At 35.4% G+C, this 23,197-nt stretch overlaps 1 protein-coding gene and 1 pseudogene across 29 annotated transcripts in view; one reads left to right on the top strand and one right to left on the bottom strand.

Moving 5' to 3' along the window:
* Window positions 1-23,197, top strand: part of SUPT3H (SPT3 homolog, SAGA and STAGA complex component) — a 568,878-nt gene that overhangs the window by 258,176 nt on the left and 287,505 nt on the right. For 27 of the 29 annotated variants that reach the window (NR_146632.2, NR_146634.2, NR_146633.1 and 24 more), the window contains one exon: window positions 13,753-13,837. The exons of 1 other annotated variant lie outside the window; for it this stretch is intronic. Coding sequence is in view for 15 of the 28 variants with exons in the window: in NM_001350325.2 (NP_001337254.1) it covers window positions 13,753-13,837 (85 nt within the window). In the remaining 13 variants the exon portion in view is untranslated. Of the gene's footprint in view, window positions 1-13,752; window positions 13,838-23,197 lie in introns of those variants that run through there. One more of the 29 variants, XM_017011374.3, reaches the window with a different exon arrangement.
* On the bottom strand, window positions 20,410-21,816 carry RBM22P4 (RNA binding motif protein 22 pseudogene 4; annotated as a pseudogene).

Raw genomic sequence — 23,197 nt, 5'->3', positions numbered from 1 at the left:
CTTCTACATGTGAAAATCTTAAGTTTTCTAGGAATACACCCTTTGATTCTCTGCCCTGGCATCTTTTACTGCATAACCTAATTCCACTCTTTATTTGGTCCAAAGTGCTGCAATTATTGACTCTTTCCTGTTAACATTATGCCCACAAATCACATGAATTTGTGGCCATCTGTGCTCATCCAACAGGCAGCTATATACATATAATAAGCATATATTAAAGCCTATATGCTTAAGGTTTTAATCTGCTCTAACAGTATCTAGTTTGTGTGCCCACTGAACTTTCACAACATAGGGAAGGCTCCTTGTGGTCTGAGATAATAGTGGAATCAGTTGGGAGGTGAATCCGTCCTCATACCTTCTCTTCCCTAGACATACATTGAGTGCCCACATACAACTGGCATCTTCTTAGGTGCTCAGAATACAAATTTAAATAACAGGTGATTATTTTCCTCTAAATGCATAGGGGAGAATAGAGACAAATTAGTTCATGTAAAAGTATGACTATGTAACTACATAACTATACAACTATGTAACTATACTATGAGGAGGTTGTGAAGAGTGCTATGGAAGCATCTAGGAGTGGGATTTGTTATTTATTGCCACAATAATGCTGCATAACAAAACATTGTGAAACCTCAGCATTTATGATTATATGTCTATGACAGTAGATTAGACAACCCCACCAATCTCAGCTGTGCTCTGTTATCTATCTGAGGGTCAGCTGACTGCCAGCTGATCTATGATAACTCAACTACGATAACTGGGGTGACTGAGCTCTGCTTCATGTATCTCTAATTTTCCAGCAGATTAGCCTTGTCATACTTTCATGGCAGTGGCAGAGTGCAAGAGTGCAAGTTGAAATGCTTAAGCACTTCTTAGCCTCTGCTGCTAATAATATCCCATTGGCCAAAGAACATAACAGGGTTGAGCTCAGGGTTATAGTGCAGGGCTACTTAAAGTTACTTGGCAATGGGAATGAATATAATATGAGGTGAAAGGTGAGTTAGGGCAATCAGTGCAATATGCCTTAGAGCAGCAAATGAGTATTATGGAAAATTTCCCAAGGGTCGTACCCCTCGAACTAAGTTTGGAAGGCATTGGCTGAATGGAAGAAGAAACAAAGACTTATTTGACAGAGAAAATATCATGTACAAAAGTGAGAAGACCTGAAACCTATTGTGTGGTCAGCTGTCCATAGGGAGTTTGATATTTTAGGAACAAATGGTGCATGGCTAGAAATAAGGGTGGAACCAGAGAGAAGCCAGATGTCAAAGACTTTTATATAATAAACAGAGGAGTTTGAAAGTTGTAGGATTCTGTGAAGGCTCTAAGCTAGGGTCTTAATTACTGTTTTATTGATATTAACTATTATAAATAATTAATTGCCTGGTATTGCCTATTAATATTTTTATTTGCTACCACAGAGCTTGTACCTATGAAGATCTTAATCGTGTACAGGGTGGTAGTAGGTAGATACAGAGATGTATGTTTTCACTAATATTTTCAGTATACTTAAAGACTTTATATGTTCATTGTAAGCTTCTACAAGTACATACTGATCTTTTCATAGTAAAATTTAAAGGTTAATATGAGTTTCAGTGTTAATAGTGTATATAAATATCTATAAAGGGTTATTATTTATGCATGCCAAATTTTTAAGTTATAGACTTTATACTAAAGTAAAAGATCATTTAATGTATGCTATGTGTTTATTCTCAGTAGAGTTGTGTCTTAATGTCTTTCTCATGTCATCACTTTTTTATCCATGTTCTAGAGAACAAACTGAAAACACATTTCTTCTGGGCATACTAAATTTCATTTTTATTTGAGGAATACAGTATTGTTGAGACTAGAGATGAACTTTTTCTTAATGTTCTTAAAAGTGACTGATCACTATAAGACAATTGTCTTATATACTTCCTGATTCAAGCGAAAGCCCTTTGTGAAGAAACTAATGGAATATATTATGTAGTACAACTGGAATATATTATGTGTTCTCCTACTGGCAGTCACAGATATTTACACAATTAATTTTCAAGTTGCATTATTTCCATATTTTTTAATTTATAGTTTTATTCATATTCTGAGAGCAAAGCCATTGTTTTTGGTGACAAATTAGATTATGTACAATAGTGGTATTAATTATTGCCAGGTGGTTTTTCTAGAATGCTTTGTAAGGAAGTGTAATAAAGTTGTAATTTTGGCATGAGTTTGCTTCATTTTTTAAAATGTTGGGTGAAGGAGATTCTAGTCATTATACCCTGATGAACTTGACATCAATCTCAAGAAAAATTTTGGAATCTATAATTATTAGGAACTTGCATGAGCTCACAATTGATATCAGTATAAAATAATTTTACTTTCATTAAGGTAATGTCACAGTTTTAGAGTAAAAATTTAAATGAGATGTTTGATGTCATCTGTGCTGATGTTCTGCTGGATGAGATGGAGAGTTATATTTCAGACAAAGACAGCTTGAAACCTGGATCAACTCTTCCCAGCCCACAAAGTGTTGATTATTGGATCTGTTGTTTCAAGGATATCTCTTTGCTACAGGGCTTTATAATTGGCCTATGACTTGTTCAACACTTAGAGGTTTGCATTCCTTTGGTTTGTTTACTAAAAGTTTTATAACTTTTTTTTTAATGAAAACTTGGGTAGGACCTAAATATATAAATCAAATAAATGCCAAACTACTCTGATTCAAGTGAGAATTGAAAGTGGTAGTAGTTTTGGAAAGTCTTTTCAAAGATATGCTATTTACATTGAGACCAAAATGATAAGAAATAGGAAGTCTTTAACCTTGAAGAAGCCTAGAGAGGATGTATGGTTTCTTCAAGTAGATTAGTGGTTGTCTTTGGCTGAGGATGGGAAATAGGACTGACTGTAAATGGGCATGAGACATTGTTTTGGAATGATGGAAATGTTCTGAAACTAGATTGTGGTGATGATGGTAAAACCCTGTAAATTTACTAAAAGTTATTGAATTGTACACTTTTAAACAACTGGATTTTATGGTATGTAAATGATATCTCAATAAAGCTGTTTAAAACAGATGCTGTTTAGCAAAAACAAAACAAAACCAGACCTTTAAAGTAAGCTTTCTTCATACTTTTGAAGACCTGTCATGTAAAAGGATTTGTCATTTCATCAGTTCCAGGGGACAAAGCTAATCCCAGCATATGGAAATTAATTTTTAAAAACCCAGAATTTCACTTACTGGAACAAATATCTCTCCAAGATGCAGAGGGACAGGCATAGTGATAGTGTGTTGCAGGGTCTTTAAGAGGTTTAAATGACATATATAAATATACCTGGCACTTAATACATGCTTACTGTTTAAAGAAAAATTAATACAGATAAAGATACAAGTGTATGTGTGTATAATTTTTAAGAGAGAGAGAGAAACGTGCGCAGTTGTGCTAAAATGTTAATAATTGGTGATTCTAGGTGAAGGATTTACAGGTGTTCATTCCACTGTTATTTCAGCTTTTCTGTTGGTTAGGAATCTTTCAAAATAAAATGTGAGAAGAAGGAGAGGAAGGGAGGCTAGGCTGACTAGTTTGTGAGGGCAAACTTCCTTAAATGCTGTGAAAAATAACGAGCCTGTCATTCAGTATCTGAAATAAAAACAGAAAACTTGATTTATTTCTTCTTATCATAAAGGAGAGATACATGCCGGTCAAGCACAGTTTGTTAGCAAGGAAGGCTGCTGATCTTTTGGGTTTTCAGGAAGCATTGAGTTCAGGGATTGGTCGTGTTCTGGAGTTGACATAATCTATAATAAGAGAGATGAGAATGTTGTTGATTGGTTGGCACTCAAGGGTGTGTTTACTGGAATGAGTCTGTTCCTGGTTCTGGTGGCTGTTTATTGCCATGGCTACAGAAAATCAGTCATGTCTTTAAGTTTGTGGGAACTTTGAAAATTCTCAGCTAGTATAATATTCAGTGCCTGACATGATGTAGACCCAGTATTCAATAAATATTCGTTGAATGTAAGTGCATTTTTAAAAAGCTCACAATGTTTGCCATTATCACCACCATCATCATGTCATTGTTAGAAACTGAAGAACTTGGCTTTGGAGTTCTAAAATCTTAGGTTGCATTTTATTTGGAATCCTCTCACTAAAGTCCTTAAGTTATTTTGGAAGTTGTTTTGTTTGTTTGTTTAAATCAGTGTTTCCTAATTTTTTTTCAATGCTATGTAACTCCATGGGCTTAGAAAAGGATTATATACACAGTAAATACGTTTAAAATCAAGAGTTTCTTTTCTTCAGAACCTCTCAGAGTGTTTAGTATGGTAACATGTATTGCAAATCTAGAAAAGAATAAAATATGTCATTTTCCAAGCTCATTTAACTACAAAATACTTTTTCTTCTGGACACTGTCAATCTGAAAAATGTTGTTGCAGTATGCCATATTTATATCCATTTTATATTGATAATTTTCTAAAGATCTGATGGTACAAAATTCTCTTATCTCTGTGACTATCTCATACCAAGTAATCTTGACGCTTACTGTTGCTGACTCCCCGGGTAAATGTCTTAACTTTCTTGACTCTCTCTGATTCCATGTTTATGTAACATGGGAGAAACTTTCCTGTTTGCATGCTTTACAGTTTGCTTTAAATGATAGGTGAGAAAAGTCCTCTATGACTATGAGGTGTTATTGTGATTACAGTGTATCTGTTTTCAATGTTATAGGAAGTTAGTTTTTTGACTAAATTTCAGTCAATCTAAGATAGTAAAGTCCATTAAATGTTTTGGAGGCTTAATAGATGTTCATTTAGCGTGTTGTTGTACAATGAGTTCTGGATGAGGTAAAAGTCCTAGTTTTACTTCTAACTGGACTTATGACCTTGAGATGGCTATTTAACCTCTTGGGCTTTCATTTTTCATCTGTTTAAAACTGAATGAAAGGACTACGTAATCTTTTAGATTATTTTTTGACCTAACATTCAATGATTGCTATATAGATCTTTCCTGTTCCTCAAATAGGGACGGTTTATAATAATTTGCTTTATGCTGCTATCTATTAAGAGTTTGAAGATGGGAATATTTGCTTCTTAGAAATGTAGGATATATGAGGAAAAATGCCCTGTAAATTGTTAGAAGAAATTCATAAAGATATTCTGCTAGTTTTGTAAACTTTCTCAGATGCACATTTTCATGCACTGTAGATGAGTTTTATTTTATGAGCTTTCTTATAAATATTTATGGATGAGCTTTCTTATGTAAATCTTGATTTTTAAAAAAATTTTCTGATTTATATATTTTTTCTATTTAAAGCTATTTCTTTCACACATCAGATCTTAATAAATACATGTTTTAATATTTCACACTGCCCATTGCATACATTTCGTGATTCTGTTCTAAGTTTTTTTCTCTCATCTTTCTAACATACAAATTATTTATTTAGTAATTCATTAGTTATATTGTTTATTGTCCTTTCCTCATCGGAATGTAAACTTGACTCATTTTTTTGTCTGTTTTGTTCACTGATATGTTCCAAGGAACCAGAACAGTGCCTGGCACATACCAGGCAATCAGTCAATATTTGTTGATTGAGTGATTAATACTTGTAGGTATTATGTGTTTACCTTTTCAAAATTTTATACTGTTTTATCTTTTATTTTAAACATATATGTATATTAGTATATTTGTATTTTTTTACGTCAGCATTATTTATTTTATATCATAAATAATTTAATTTTGCTTTTTATATATCTTCACATATTTATATTTATTTCATGGTGTTTTGTAAAATTCTAAAAGTTTTCTCAAAGTTCAGTTAAATTATATGAATGTTTACTATCAGAAGGGGAATGGGGAAATGGTTGTTGAGAAATCAAGCAAGCAATGAGAAAAATCATCACTGCTAGGAAATCTGTTGTCTTAGATGTTTATTTGATTTTTTTTTTTTTTTTTTTTGATGGAGTCTTGCTCTGTCGCCCAGGCTGGAGTGCAATGGCTCAATCTCGGCTCACCGCAACCTCTGCCTCCCAGGCTCAGGCGACTCTCCTGCCTCAACCTCCCAAGTAGCTGGGGTTACAGGCATGCGCCACCATGCCATGCCTAGCTAATTTTGTATTTTTAGTAGAGATGGGGTTTCACCATGTTGGCCAGTCTGGTCTGGAACTCCTGACCTCAGGTGATCTACCCACCTTGGCCTCCCAAAGTGCTGGGGTTGAGCCACCACGCCCAGCCTTATTTGATATTTTGATTTACCTATCACTTGGGGTTTCTTAGAGCTATTGTTAATAAAATTCATTTCTTCCTTTGAAAACAGGTGGGTAAAATCATAGATTTGTGAAAGAGCTGTTAAAATTTGAAGAGCAAGGCTAATTTGTAGTGTTTATAACTTTCCAATTGCATTAAATGACTGATCACGGCCAAACTTCTGCACTTTTATTCCCCACTTTGGATAGTGGACAAATCAGTGTCAACAGATATTGGGTAAGAATGACATAAACAACAGTATGATGTCTGTGTTCACATACATCATCTAGTACTAGTTTAGCTGACTAAAGTGTATGGTAGGGCTGTAGCCTGGTATTCACTCTAATTCCATTTAGGAGAAATTCTTGGGTATTATAGTAATACCTAGTCTATAAAAGTGTAATCAAAAAATGCTTTGAACGGAAAAAAAAAAAACCTTTCTTTTGGGGACAGCAAGTTACCCAGAGCCTTCTTAAACCAAGCAATAGTCACACAGTGTCCATTCTAAAGTAATGTCAATTACCTGGGGTAGGAAAACATCCAAAAAAACCAGAACTAATTAAAAAAAAAAAAAAAAGTGACTAGCTCCCAAGACCACAGCAATTACTTAACCAGAGTATCCAGAATGATTTAACCACATTAGAGTCTGTAGCCAGTGGGAAGTATTGAAAGCAACTCAGCATCCAAGAAGATGTACACATGGCAGTAAAGAAACATCTCTTTATCCTTTCTTTATGTTTGGTTTCTAGATGCTTTATGAGTAGATCTGCTTGTAGGCCTTGTATGCTTGGTGACTGGCCCAGCAGGCTGTCCACAGATCATCACCAAACTTATCCCCTTTGCTTCTTTTTCAGAATCTCTTTAATTAAAACTTAATCAGCCCTTCCCCTCTGTTAGAAACTTAATCAGCACTTCCCCTCTAAATCAGCCCTTCTCCTCTGTTAGAAACTTAATCAGTCCTTCCCCTCTGTTAGAAACTTAATCAGTCCTTCCCCTCTATTCTTAATCAGGGCTTGGAAATTTAAAAACAAGTATTTTAGACTCAAAGTTAGGCCTGTTAAATTCTTTTAATTGAAAAAGAATAATGTAAAATTCCGTGATAATATGTTCAACACCCCCCACCTTTTTTTTTAAATTTAAGGAACAATGACATGTTTCTTAGAAATTATTTCCACATATAAGGCCAGGGATAAACTATAGCTTTCTTTTCCTTCCTCTAATTATTTTTATTTATTTATTTCGTTCTGTTACTCATTTTTAACATGTTTTTCTTTTTCTTAATTTCATGATTTTCCCACAGTTTACTCTGTGCAATTTGATTTTCTCATAACAGTGTTGCCCCATTCTTGAAGACAGTCTTTAAGATTTACGAATTATAGTTGAATCAGATATATTTGATTCAAAATAAAGTTTCTGAAAAGGTTTCTTTAAAATTATCTAATCTAGTCCCCTCCTTTTACTGCTGAGAAACTGAGGTGCCAGGAGAAGTTACCTGCTCATTGCAGTACTTCTTAATAGCATAGTGGGAACTAGAACCAGATCCTCTAACTTCCAGGATATTTTCATGGTTACTGACTTTTCCTACTTTGTAGCTGACGGCCAGAATATAGTATGACTTCTAGCAGCATTATTGTAATCTTTTTAGTTGGATACAAGCCCTGTGAACTTCATCCATTTTTCTGAGCTCAAATCTCTGGCTGGTCATTTAGTTTGGTGCTATTTCTTTCCCTGAGTGGGGGTGGGGGGGCCGTGACTACAGTGAGATGTCAGCTGGGCACCTACTCATCCACTGACTCTCATGAACTTCATCCTCAACATCAGAGAATAGAAAAGCATTATCTTCAGATGAAGGAATAAATTTCCCATATGCTATTTGTTTCTGTTTTGAGACTTTAGAACTGAAATAATAAGGGTAATTGTTTGAAAGGAAAAATACAAGTTTTATTTATTGTTAATTCATTCCCTTAACAAATGAAACTGTTTTCTTGCTTGTTTTTTTTGCGGGGGGGAGGGAGGGGGGAATGTATGCCATGACCTTCTAGTACTAATTAGACTGATTTACTTGGTAGGGAACACTTTGGAAAACCCCTCAATCCCAGGCAAACTAGGGTGATTGGTCATGCTGATAACAATAATGTATATATGTTAGTGAATGCAAAAAGATTTTCTAACACCAATAAATAAAATATATTTTTAAAAATACCATTTTGGCTGGGGGCAGTGGATCAAGCCTATAATCATAGCACTTTGGGAGGCTGAGGTGGGCAGATCACGAGGTCAGGAGTTCGAGACCAGCCTGGCCAACATGGTGAAACCCTGTCTCTACTAAAAATACAAAAACTAGCTGGGCATGGTGGCGGGCGCCTGTAATCCCAGCTACTCAGGAGGCTGAGGCAGGACAGTTGCTTGAAGCCGGGAGGTGGAGGTTGCAGTGAGCGAAGGTCGCGCCACTGCACTCCAGCCTGGGTGACAGAGTGAGACTCTGTCTCAAAAAAAAAAAAAAAAAGTATCGTTTGTTTTATTTCTTACCTCCTTTGATATTTCTCTTTTGTGTTTATTTTATGCTGTTTTGTTATTATATTAATTTGTATAACTTGAAAAGAAATACACACACACATATGTACACACATTACATATACTTTCTCAAAAAGTATTTATTTTCCCCTTACAGTTTATGCCATTAAAAGAGTTTGGAGTTGACTGCCTTTCACAGCTGGGGATATGTAGATGTGAGGAGAATAGGTCAATTGATACATCATCAAATACATGCATTTACATAGGGTCCAGAGGTTAGCAAAAGATTTTAGCAAATGAAATGATGCTTTAGAATTTATAGAGAGATTAAAAGAGTATTGCTATATTTGGGTAGCATCTTGGCATAGATTACTAACCAAAGATGTCACATGTGGATTCAACATAAGATAGTAAAGCTCCTTCATTTTTAAGAAATCTTTCTCCTTTTTTTTTTTTAAAAAAAGCTGATGTTAGAAAGCACTGAAAAGGGGTTCTGTTGTTTTTTGAGAGCAAAATGACTAGACGTTTATTGTATATTTTAATAGATGTCTATTTGAAGGATCTCCCCTAATTTTAGATAGTATTGGGCTATACATAGCGCAAAAATGTTAAAAGTGTTAGTCATAAATTCTGCTGTCTTTTTAAAACAGTATCCAATGGTTTTGTTCAGCATTCATCCTCCTGGATCCCAGTATAAGTATACAGAATAAAAAGTTTAACTTCATCTCATGAATGCCCTTGTTTGTTTCATACTTTCACTGTGCACCTGTCAAGCGGATTGCAGAGTCAGTTGCCCTAGGTTGAAGTGAGACATTTCATCCCAGGATTGAATAAAGCCAATACTGTTTGCATGAGAAGATAGGGTGTAAGTTGCTCCGCCCCAATCATTATTAAGTTGCTCTGGCCTTAGTTATAATCATGGCTGTCAGAGTCACAGTCCTTCCTAAAATGGAGGGTTGTGTGTTATAGCAACGAGACTGCTGCAGGAGACCAGGAGAGGGGCAGCCTTTTCAGAAGGTTTCCTGAAAGACCTTTAGTGGACGGTAGTCAGGCAGTACTGGTATTGTCACAGGCATCAAGACAGTATGTAAATGAATAGGGTATCAGAATCTATTGATTAGGACAAGACCCAGGATAAGTCAGTCAAGACATCAGAGCACTGGGAGATAGGTCTTCAAAGGGGAAAAAAATCAAAATAGTTGTATAAGTATCAATTACTTGTCTGTCTTTAAGTGGCTTACAAGTAGTACATACATTGCAGAGCAAAAAAGGAAGTGACTGTGGCCAGGTACAGCAGTTTTCATTTCTGTTTTCCAAAAACGACTAGAACAATATCTAGTTTTCTGTGTATGAGGGGAAAAATGACAGAAGTTATTTATAAAAGCTGTTGGAGAAAAACTGAAGTACCAATAACCCTGAAAATTAAAATAATATACTCATCAAATGATACACCTGATACCAGTCATTGTAACTAATTTAGGTACTTACTTTACAGTGTATGCTCATGAAAACTGTTTTTAGTACAAAGATCTAACTTTCTCATAAAAGCTTAGGCAATTTGTGTCTTTTATTGATACAAGAAGTATTTTTAATTTTTTTACTATAGATGTCAATTGAATTTGTAGTTTTATGGTTAAGCCAATTATTTAGCGTTGATAACTTTGCACTTTTTTTTTAACAGTGACATTCGAAGTAACTTAGAATAATGGAAGGAAAACCTTATTCAAGTATTCCAACGAATTAAATAATGCATATATCAGTGAATACAACAAAAGATTTTTGCCTTTGTGGAGTTTGCTTTTTATTGTGGACTTTTTATTCTCTTTTTGTTCTATTGGTTGTTTGCACCAAATAACATACTATCTTAATGATTGTAGCTTTATATTAAGTCCTGTAGAAAATACTCTCCCATCTTATACTTCAAAAGTGTTTTGACTATTCCTGTCTCTTTACCATCTCATATAATGTTTAGAACCAATTTATATTTACTTTTAATTGCATCTTCTACCTTTATGTTAATGATGATTTTTTGTAGATTGATCTTATAGCCAGAAACTTGCTAACTTATTAATTCAAATAATTTGTTTCTTGATTTTTGGTTTTCTATGTAGATACTCATATTATCTGCATATAAGGACCGTGTAGTTTTCTCTTTTCCAATACTTTTATAGTTTTAGTTTTTTCTTGTTTTATTGTTCTGACTATAATCTTAAATATTATATTGACTGAAAGTGGTGATAATAGTTATCCTTATATTGATCTGGTTCTTAAAGGGTTTAAATGCTTCTGTGTATGTGGTTTCCTGTAGGGTCTTAGCAGATTCACTTTATCAAATTAGAGAAAGTTCCTTGTGGTGCTAGCTTACTAAAGGTTTATGTCATGAGTGGTTGCTGGATTTTGATGAGTGGTTTTCTTACATCTGTTGAAATGATTATGTAGGTTTTCTTTTTTCATTTTCTAAATTAATGTAGTTATATTAATATATTTATTCAATATTGAGCTATTCCTTTCCTGGCTATGTTAGTCAAAGTTCTCTAGAAAAAATACAAGCAATAGGATTTTATAAAGGAGATACACACATACATATAAGATACATGCACATGCATGCACACATACACACACATATCAAAACAAGGAGGAACTAATCATGACAATTATAGTCCTTGACTACAGGTGCATGCCGCCATGCCTGGCTAATTTCTTTTGTATTTTAGTAGAAACAGGGTTTCACTGTGTTGCCCAGGCTGGTCTCAAACTCCTGAGCTCATGCAATCCGCCAGCCTTGGCCTCCCAAAGTAGTGCTAGGATTACGGGTATGAGCCACTGTGCCTGGCCTATTTCTTTTTCTTACCTAATTGCTTTGCCTGGAATTTACAGTATTGTGTTGAATAGAAGTGACAAAATTGGACATTGTGTTAATGCTTATCTTAGGGGAAAAGTTTTTAGTGTTTCACCATTAAGTTGGATAGTAGCTGTGAGTTTTTCATATATGGTCTTTATCAGATTGATAACTTTTCTCCATTAACTTTTTAAATGCTATTATATTTTTCATTTCTATTTCTGTTTAGTACTTTTTCAAAAATGACTAAGCATTTGGTAAGATTTTTGTTGTCCTACATATACTTCTCATTTCTCTTTTAAAAAAACATAAATTACTATAGTTAATAGATACTTATTTATTCAGGTATGTATAGGCTGTAGGTCTGATTCTGCAGTTTGTTGGTCCTGCTCACTCTCATTCTTGATGACTTGATTCCTGGTACATGTAGTGAATTTTGATTTTGAATTTATGGTCCTTGATATGTCATCCATGGGAATTCTTTCAGTTATTTGTTCGAAATATGTTCTTCAACAAATGAATTGCATTTGTTTCTACAAGGTACCTGTGGGCACTATCAATATAAATCACTTTAAATTAATGCTTGGCCTTTTTTTAAGGCTATATGGGTAGCAGATACTCTAGCACCATGGAAGTGAATTTATAGTTAACAATTCTTAGGGAAGATTTTTTTCCTCTCCTACTCAAAGCTTCGGGTGAGGTAGGCAAAGTGCATTCTCTGGAATGGGTATTTTCCTAGTTCACACATTGAGGGTGTCACCATCATTTTATGTTAGGTTTCTCAATGTTATATTGGATTCTCAAACTGATTTCCTACCTTTCTTGTCCCCACATTCTTTTCTATACCTTGAATTCTCTACTAGTTCGGTATAGACTGTAGGTTACTGTGATTAGGTAGATGCCTTCAGAATAAATTTTGAAGGTTCAGTACTCTATTATAGAACTCTTTTTTTCATCTTGTCTGACTTTGGTTTTGTCTTCCCTACTGCTGGTTAAAGCATACTTTAAATATATTATTGTGCATTTTCAAGTGTTCTTTACCAAGAAGGTATTCTTTGCACATCCAGTCTACTTTTAAGTTTTAAGAAGAGGAATTCTAAGGCCAGCCTTTTTAATCCATTCTTGAAAATCTGCTTCTATATAATTCCAAGTCATATTCAATGGTATTTACATAAATTTTTCTTACCAACTTTCAAAGCTGATTACATCATACACTTTTATACCTTTCTATGTGGCTCTTACATTGGTAATTGGGATGTGGTTACATGATTTGCTGGTTGCCAGTATTGTGAAGTAGTTGTTAGTATTTTGCATTTTGAAACAATAAATTCCCTTTAAAAAATACTGTACAAGGCGGGCGTGGTGACTCATGCCTGTAATCCCAGGACTTTGGGAGGCCAAGGTGGGTGGATCACCTGAGGTCAGGAGTTCGAGACCAGCCTGGCTAACATGGTGAAACCCTGTATCTACTAAAAATAAAAAATTAGCCAGGTGTGGTGGCACGCGCCTGTAGTCCCAGCTACTCTAGAGGTCGTGGTAGGAGAATTGCTTGAACCCGGGAGGCGGAGGTTGCAGTGAGCCGAGATTGTGCCACTGCACTACAGCCTGGGCAACAGGGTGAGACTCTGTCTCAAAAAAAATAAAAAAAATAAAAACTGTACGAATCCAGAAATAGCATAGATAACACTGCACTTTTCTTTTGAAGTTGCAACTTGTGTGGGAAAGACTTTCTTTTATTTTCTTTTGTCTTTTTTTAAAACAGGGTCTGACTCCATTGCCCATGATGGAGTATGGTGGCATGATCTTGGCTCACTGCAACTTCTGCCTCCTGGGCTCAAGCCATCCCCCCACCTCAGCCTCCCAAGTAGCTGGGACTATAGGCACATGCCACTGCTTCCGGCTAATTTTTGTATTTATTGTAGAGGCGGAGTTTCACCATGTTATGCAGGCTGGTCATGAACTCTTGGGCTCAAGTGATCCTCCCGCTCCGGCCTCCCAAAGTGCTGAGATTAAAGGCGTGAGCCACCACACCTGGCCAAGAAAATTGCACACCCATTCAGACATTTGGGCAAACAATTTATGTTCTCCTTACTAAACTGATTCATGTAATAAATGTTTCACTTTTTGCCTTTCTTAGTTTTATAGTCCTTAATATTGGTGTGTTTAAAATTATTTTGCAGGTATTCTTTAGGTGATGCTAGAAGGCCTCTTCATGAAACAGCAGTTTTGGTAGAAGATGTGGTACACACTCAGTTAATTAATCTGGTAAGAGCATATATAATTTGATTTGGTTTCTCTTCTCTGCATTCTTTTATTAGGATGGTAACCCAACACTTTAAAAACATTTTATTTACAGCTGGAATTCTTTTTTGTTAGCATTATTGAAGTATACTTTATATATAACAAAATTTACTAGTTTAATGCATAATTTGCTGAGCCTCAACAATGGAATATTATAATATTAACTTATAACACAATCATGATATCGAAAATTTGCATAATCTAAAACAAACCCTTGTTCCCCTGGGCAGTCAGCAGCCATCATCATCACAGCAGAAAGATTATGACTCACTGAAGGCTGAGATGGTTGTTAGCATTTTGTAACAATAAAGTATTTTTAAATTAAGGTATGTACATTATTTTTTAGACATGCCATTTGACAATCAATAGACTATAGTATAGTGTAAACATAGCTTTTATATGCACTGAGTAACCTCATAATTTGACTGTACACCTACTCTGTACCCACAAAAATTAAAAGTTAAAAAATTTAAAAAAAATTTGTCTGACTCACTTTATTGCAGTGGTCTGTAACTGAACTTACGGTATCACTGAGGTATGCCTGTACCATGTTTAAAGAGGAATTCACTCATGTAGCCTTCTAATCCTTGTAAGATTTTATTTTTACATTTAGCTCATTCATATAGTTGTTGTTTATTCCTGTTATTTTGTGAGATATGGATCTAATTTTATCATTTTTCAAATGGGAACTCAGTTTTACCATCATCATGTATTTTAAAATTTATCTTTTCCTTAGTGATTTGAAATGCCTTCTTTATAATATACTTAATTTATATATATAGGTATCTGTTTCTCGTTGTATATGCTATACTAAGGGTTTAGTATATGTATATCCTAGTATGGCATTTATTACAGGTTTTATAGTATATTTTAATGATTATTAGGGCTAAACTTCCTTGTAGTTTTTCTTGTTTTTTCAGTATGTTCCCAGCTATTCATGTATATTTATTGTTCCTCATGAATATTAGTAGCAACTTCTCTAGCTAATAAAAATTTTCATTGGTATGTTTATTGAGATTACATGATTTTATAAGTTAAGGAGAGCTGCATCTTTAAAATCTTGAATCATTCTATGAATGGGGATATCTACATTTGTTTGAGACTACTTTTGTGTTTTTCAGTTGTGTTTTAATATTTTTCTTCTTTTAGCTTCACACATTTCTTGTTAATTTGTTTTTTTAACTATTTCATCTTCTTTGTTGCTATTGTTAATGGATTTCTTCTATAATTATGTAACAGCTGAAAACATTCAAAAGTTTAATGAAATACATAAATCTACAGATTCAAGATGAGCCAACTCCGTTTAGAACAAATTAAAAGAAATCCATGTTCAAACTGCTGAACAATAATAACATAATACAAATCTTAAAGCCTGACAGGTTTATTATCATAGGGGAAGGATGATTTGAAAGATAGTGGAATTCTTATCAGAAAACAGGCAGGCTAGAATGAAATGGCACAACAGTTTTAAAGTACTGAATGTAGAATATTAGGTTGACTGTTCTTTTTCTCTATCTTTCTATAGCCTTCTCCCCTTCTTTACATGTCCTCCTGTCTTATAAGGACACCAGATATTTACTCTTTAGTGGTATTGTTATTCATGTTAAATCTATGTATGTTACTATTTTTATATGACAACATTATAACTTTTCCTTTAAAGTCAAATGCTTTTAAGGAATGTAGATAAAAAAGGAAGCATATGGCCTATTTTGTATTTACCCACATATCTACCATTTCCCATGCTCATTATTCCTTCTCACAGATTTTAGTTGCCATTTCAGTCTTTTCCTTCATCCTGAAGAAGCCTTGTAACTTTTTTTGTAGTACAGCTGTGCTAATGATGAAGTCTCTTACATTTCTTTCATCTGAACATATCTTTATCTTTATTCTTTAAGTATGTTCTTCCCTACATGGAATTCTATGTTGATAATCTTTTCCTTTCGGCTCTTTGAATATGTCATTCTAATATTTTCTGACCTACATTAGTTTCTGTTACAAGTTAACTGTTATTCATTTGTTCCCCTGTATGTAACATGTAGTTTTTTTCTGGCTGCTCTCAAGATTTTTTCCTTATCTTTGGCTTTGGGTAGTTTGCTATCTCTAGGAGTGATTTTTGAAATCGTTATTTTCTTGTTGAACACTAGGTATCAATTCGTGGAAGTTTTCAGCCATAAGTTTTACCATTTGACATTGTTTCACAAGACTTTCAGGGCCTTTAGTGTTTCTCCAAACTTTTTCTGCCCCTTTTTCTTCTGTTGTTTTGTTTCATTTGACTTTTGTAATTCCTATGGCTTTACCTTTAAGTTTACTATTTTTTCTGCCATGTCTAATATGCTATTTAGTCAGTGCTAGTGTTTTTTTCAGTGTAGCCCATAGTATTTTCTATTGCAGTATCTGTTTGAAAATGTATCTTAGTGGGTTATAAACCCCTTTTGAATTATGGATACATACTTTTATATTCTATTTTAAATACAGAAGGTGGAACATTATTTGATGACTGCTACACTAGTATAAACAAGAAATAGTATGTGCCTTTACTTATAATGAGAAATCCTCTTATTACAGTAGATGCTTACCTCTCCTTACCCATTTAATATTTGAATGATAGTTTTGATGCCTATTTGTGAGATTCATCCTGTCCAGATTCCACTAAATATTACATTGAATGATATACCTAACTAGAGGAAAACCTTGTTTTGTTTACCTCTACAATATCCAGGCATATGTCAGAGTGAGTTCTTTAGAGGAAAGGAAGAATTATAGAGAACAGTTATTTTCAAAAAGTCAGTCCTTTTTTACCATGGAATATCATGTAGTCATGACAAATTATATGTGTGTGTTTTGTACTCTTCATTTAAATCTCTTTGTAGTTCTTTATCCATTTGCCTATTAAGATCAGTTTTTTCCTGTAATTCTTTGAACATCTTTTTTTTTTTTTCTTTTTTTTGAGACGGAGTCTCACTCTGTCGTCCAGGTTGGAGTGCAGAGGCATGATCTCGGCTCACTACAATCTCCAACTCCTGGGTTCAAGCGATTTCCTGTCTCAGTCTCTTGAGTAGCTGAGATTACAGGTGTGCCACCACGCCCAGCTAATTTTTTGTATTTTTAGGAGAGACAAGGTTTCACCATATTGGCCAGGCTGGCCTCGAACACCTGACCTGAGGGATCTGCCCGACTCAGCCTCCCAAAGTGCTGCGATTACAAGCATAAGCCACCACACCCGGTCAACATCTTTATAATAGCTTTGTTGAAGTATTTATAGTCTAAATTCAGTAACTGTACCACATTGGAAGGCATTTATATTGACTCTGCTTTTTACTTACTAGGTGTCATTCTTTTGGGGTTTTTTTTGCATGTCTAATAATTTTTTTAAAAGTGGATATTTTATATAATAAATTATTGTGACTCTTCTGAAGACTTTTTGTTGGTTTTGTTTTAGCTGGCAGGTAACTTGGCTGGACATAAAATGTTTTCTCCCCCATATTGTAGACAGGAGGTCACCTCTCTCGTTAATTCTTATTGCTTTCTGCTGCTGTTTTTTGGCTTTTCCCCTTTTGTGTCTCTCTTAAACTTGTACGTTTTCCTCTTTTGTGTCTCTCTTAAACTTGTATGTTTGAATGCTTGAGAAGAAAGGGAAAAATAGTAGGCAAATTGTTTTTTAAGTGTTAATATTCCCTTACTGTAGAATACTGTGTAACCAGTATACATTATATTTGTTAGTTTTTATAATATTAAATTTTTTGTTGAAATTACATAAAACAGAATCTGTTTTGTTTTCTTTTTTCAGTTCTTTATGTTTTGTCAAATGTGTAGTCTTATAACCATAACTAAAATTGATTCAGAACAGTTCCCTCATTCCCCAAAAAATTATCTTGTTCTACTCATTGTCAAATTTTTCTACCCCAACCCTCTGCCACTATGAGGTCCCCATTGTTTGTCAAAGAAGGAAAAGACTTCTCTTTTAATTCTTTTTGTCTATACTTGGTAAGCAGTTCCTGGATTCATACTCCCTTTGAGTTCAATACAGGGGATATGAGTAGAAAATAAAAACAATGAAACTCACTGCCAGGTTTTTTTTTGTTTTTTATTATCATTTTTAATAGACACATAATAATTGTACATATTTATGGGGCACAGTGTGTTATTTTGACACATGTATACAATGTATAATGATCATATCAGGGTATTTAGCATATTCGTTACCTTAAACATTTATGATTTCTTTGTGTTGGGAATATTCAAAATCCACTCCTAGCTATTTGGAAATATACAATAAATTGTTACTATTATAGTCACTACATAATGCTATGGAACCCGAGAAATTATTTCTCCTATCTAGCTGTTTATCTCTGTACAACTCTTTGGCTATACCTTTCTCTCCACTTCCCTTTCCTCACCTCTAGTAACTACTATTCTATTCTCTACTATTATGAGATCAACTTTTTGTTGTTGTTGTTTTGGAGACGGAGTTTCGCTCTTGTTGCCCAGGCTGGAGTGCAATGGCACGATCTCGGCTCACCGCAACCTCCGCCTCCCGGGTTCAAGCGATTCTGCTGCCTCAGCCTCCCAAGTAGCTGGGATTACAGGCATGCGCCACCATGACCAGCTAATTTTGTATTTTTAGTAAAGATGGGATTTCTCCATGTTGGTCAGGCTGGTCTCAAACTCCCGACCTCAGGTGATTTGTCTGCCTTGGCCTCCCAAAGTGCTGGGATTACAGGCGTGAGCCTCCGCGCCTGGCCAACTTTTTTACCTTTCATGTATCAGTGAGAACATGTGATATTTATCTTTCTGTGCATGGCTTATTTCTCTTAACATAATGTCATTTAAGCTCATTTATGTTGCCACAAATGACAGAATTCCCTTCTTTTTTATGGTGAAATAGTATTTCATTGTGAATATATACCACATTCTTGATATCCATTCGTCTGTTGATGGACACTTCAGTTATTTCATGTCTTGGCTATTGTGAGTATTGCTGCAATAAACATGTGAGCACAGATATATCTTTGGCATACTGTTTTCCTTTGTATGTGGACCCAGTAGTGGGATTGCTGGATCATATGGTAATTCTATTTTTAGCTTTTTATTGTTTTCTATAATGGTTATACTAATTTACATTTCAATCAAAAGTGTGTAAGACATTCCCTTTCTCCTCCTCATTGCTAGCATTTGGTATTATTAATTATAACCTTGTTTTTGATAATAACCATTCTAATAATTAGGGTGAGGTGATTATTTCATTGTTGTTTTCATTTGCATTTCCCTGATGATTAGTGACATTTAGAGTTTTTTCATGTACTGTGGGCTATTTGTGTGTCTTTTTTTTTTTTTTTTTTTTTTTAAGTACAGGGTCTTGCTATGATGCCCAGACTGGTCTCAAACTCCTGGGTGCAAGCCATTTCCCCCCTCAGCCTCATGAGTAGCTGGGATTACAGGTGTGTGTCACTGCACCCAACTGTGTCTTTTGAAAGATGTTGATTCAGCTCTTTTGCCTATTTTTTTAATTGGATTTTTCATTTTATTGCTTTTAAGTTCCTTGGATATTAATCCCTTGTCCGAAGAAATTCAAGCATTTTCTCCCATCTTGCAGGTTGTCTCTTAACTCTTGATTTTGTGTAGAAGATTTTTAGTTTAATATAATTCCATTTGTCTATTTTTGGTTTTGTTGCCTGTACTTTTGAGTTCCATTTCATGAAATATTTTCCCAGAACAATGTCCGAAGCGTTTTCCCCTGTGCTTTCTTCTAGTAGCTTAAAGTTTTGGTTCTTAGATTTTAAGTCTTTAATTCATTTTGAGTTGATTTTTTGAGTATGGTGAGAGATAGGGGTCTAGTTTATTTTTCTGCATATAGACATCCAGGTTTTCCAGCACCGTTTATTGAAAAGACTCACCATTCTCGGGAATATTCTTGTCTGTATTTCTTTGTTCTGATATGTGGGAATCCCTATCTGGCTAAGCCTTTAGCCACACAATCTAAAATGATATGTAAATGGCCCTGAGGTGTTCTTTGCACATCGAAGTTAAATTTTTTTAATTATCCTGAAAACAAAAGTGTAAATGAGGTCATCATTTCATTTTTAGATTGCCATTTACTGTTTTGAATGGTTTTCTGCTTTAATAAATTATTAGGTATTTTTTACTTTTTCATGTTTTATTCATTTATTTAGTACACTTATTTATTGACACTGGTATAGCTCTGGTTATAGCGATACAAAGATGAATAAGAGTTTACAGTTTTGTCAGGTACATTAACACATAGAAGCTAATTTTAAAACATTATGGTAAGTGATAATACTGATATCCAGAGTGAGATGAGGGTTTTAAGAAGAGATAATTATTCTGGGCTGGAATTCTTCATGTATTTCTATATTCATGTCTCTAATAAATGATAAATCTTTCATAGGATTCAACATGTATTTATTGAGTTGAATTGAGGAAAGTAAGCATTGGAATAGAGGTTATAAACTTGGCCCAAAATGTGACACAGAAACGTGTTTTATTCCATTTACAGTATGATTTTTTTTTTTTTTTAAGAAAAACACATTTATTCCAAGATTCATTGATTCGGATTTTTAAGTGTTCTTTCTTCCATAGAGCCCCAGAGTGTTGATAGTGTGCTAGGGTTTCCTATGTTTTCTGGCATGAGCTCCCATCCTCTGAGGGTCATGAGAAAGATAGTGGATTAATCCTGGAGTTGTCATGAAAGGAAAGGGTGGTCCCATTGAGGTGAATATGTGTGGCCTAAATCCTGGGGTTGGGGGTGTGGAAGACTAGGGGCTGGTGGCTGGGCAATGTTCACCACAGCTGGAGGACCATGTTGGGGCAGGTTGAAGTAGCTGGCACATGCATCTTCTGCTGCTGTAGGAGGAGGAAGAGCTCATGGCAGTGCTGGAATAGGCTGTAGCTGGATCCCAGAGTCTGTGATCTGTTCTTCTCTTTTTCTTTTCCTCTGGATGCTTGGGATCTTCCCCATTTTATGTTGAGTCTACAGCCATTGACAATCAACTTATCAAAGGACTTCTCAGCAGCCACTTCTGCAGCCTGCCCTGTGGAAACCTGGATGAAAGCACACTGCTCTCTCTGAACAACAGTAATCAATCTGCATCTCTCCAAACTGGTAGTGATGATGTCTTAGATCTGTCTCAGAAAGGGTATTATCCAGACTACCAACATATGGGGAGGATAACCTTGTCCTCTGATGGGTCCAGATGGGGCATGATTGAAGCCCACTTTAGATGCTTATCTGTTTCTGGATCATTGATTCCATAATATTCTGATTGGCAAGGGGATCATCTGGATCTATAGGCTTCTCATGTCTGCATGGATGTTCCTCTCCTCTCTTATACTCTCCTTTCACCCAGGAGGAGCAAATGTGGGGCTTACTCCTTTGGTAGGAGGGTGTGGTCCAAGCTGGACTGAGTAGCATGTCTCTGGTCAGTGTGGCTTTTTCCCCAGCAGGCAAACTGGCCACGTTCCATCAGAGCTAGAAATCCCTGTCTCTCATATTCTACATGCAGTACTCTTTTTTTGACATCAGACTTTGGCAGGTCACCTTCAGAAGACAGTTCTGCATTATTAACCTGGATGGGCAGACCATGCTTTAGGTCTTAAGATTTAGGCCTAACAGACATGCTTCAATTTACTGCAGGGTTGGCACACTTCTGTCTTCTTGAAATGCATGTGGACCCCAGGGCACAAGCAAAACACTGAATGGCCTGGCACAAATTTTGCGTTCCTTCCTGCTTTTTTCTTTGGCTATTTAATATATATAGATTTCTGCAAGACATTCCTGGCACAGAACAGGAAAGTCCACCCCCTCCCAGTTCTGGGTGTTGTAAGCTTGGGAACCCAGAGAGCTCGCCATCTTTAGAGCATCTGGAGGCAGTGGTAGCTGTTGAGGTGGGAGAGAGGACCGCCACAATCCTATCAGACCCAGCCCCAAATTTCATGATTTTTCTGCAAGAATACTGAAATGGATGACCTTGCAGTCCAGTTTTTTCATAAGTGTCTTTGTCCAGTATGAAATTAATTTCCCTGTTAATGATAGGTCTAAGAAGGGAGTGAGTTTGGAGAGAAGAAGATACAAGGGCAGACTTTCAGTTTATAAAAACCTGTATGTCTTTTTGCACAGTATATATATTTTTATCATTAGAGATAGAAGAAACATGAGTGTTGTTACTGTTTTGTAGAAGGACAGCAGTATTATCTTCATCAATATTTGTATTTGCATAGCAGGAACCTTTGGGGACCCATTGTAGCTACAGTCACCTGTAATTGTAACAGTGGATCTCTTTGAGATGTCAGTGGAATGACTTTGTGTGGCCACAGTTGAATTTCTCACAAATCAGCAAGTGGCTGGAAGCCTCTCACAGCCTGCATAGGGCTGCCTTGTGCTGGCCCATCTTAAGCTAGGTGGGCTTCCCCCTTTCCTTATCACACCTCTTTCCTCTGCCTTTGCTTCTGTGGCAGCTCAAGAAATTGTGAGCCGTCATCAATTCTCCTTCAGGGCACGGACTTCTCTCTCTAGAGTTTCTGGGAAGCCAGAAAACTCACAGCTGGGCTTGACACTTGTGTCCTGTAGCAAACTTCCTGACTAAAGCAGTGGCTTTCAAATTAGCATGGTCCATGAAACACCAGTATTCAAAAGAATGTTCAGGGACACCTCATATTTGAGGAAGAGAAGAAGATGGGGCTCTGAGATCCCTACCCCAAATTCAACCAGAACAGTTCCTTTTTGATTATTTGTGTATTGTAGATTTCTGTCAGTCAAAAATTTTTGAAGTCCATCTTTGATCAGTGTTATCTTTTCATCATTTCACTATGTATAGGATAACAAGTTCCACAAGACTGATGCCTGATATATATTATACTACACTCTCTTTGTCCTACAGCATTTTTTCAGTATCAGTTATGTCAGTCCTTTCAGCTCCTCAAAATTTTATTTTGGGACTATGGACTATTTCTAGCTATTATCTCCTGATAGATATATATCAAGATTGAATATAGCACCTCGAAGTAGGTGAAGCTGTGTTTTTGACAAGACTTATTATGATATACTTTGATTCTTTAAAAAAAAACCTCCCTTAGTCAATACAGATTTTTATTGAATATCTACTGTTGATATTTTGTTGAATATCAACTACCAAGGATGATGGACATTTTTTAGATTATTTTGGCAGTAGGTACATATTGTTTCATTTGGGGAATACTACCATAAGACTGGCAATAAACTACATTTAGAAGTTTTTACTTAAATCATTTTTTTTTGTCTCGTCTTTCTTTGACCTGTTGTTCCCATGTGGAATCTATATCCTCTCATCT

This window comes from Homo sapiens, chromosome 6 (assembly GCF_000001405.40).
Source record: "Homo sapiens chromosome 6, GRCh38.p14 Primary Assembly".
NCBI lineage: Eukaryota > Metazoa > Chordata > Mammalia > Primates > Hominidae > Homo > Homo sapiens.
The sequence above is the reverse complement of the archived record's forward strand: the minus strand, read 5'-3'. Positions and strand labels throughout refer to the sequence as shown.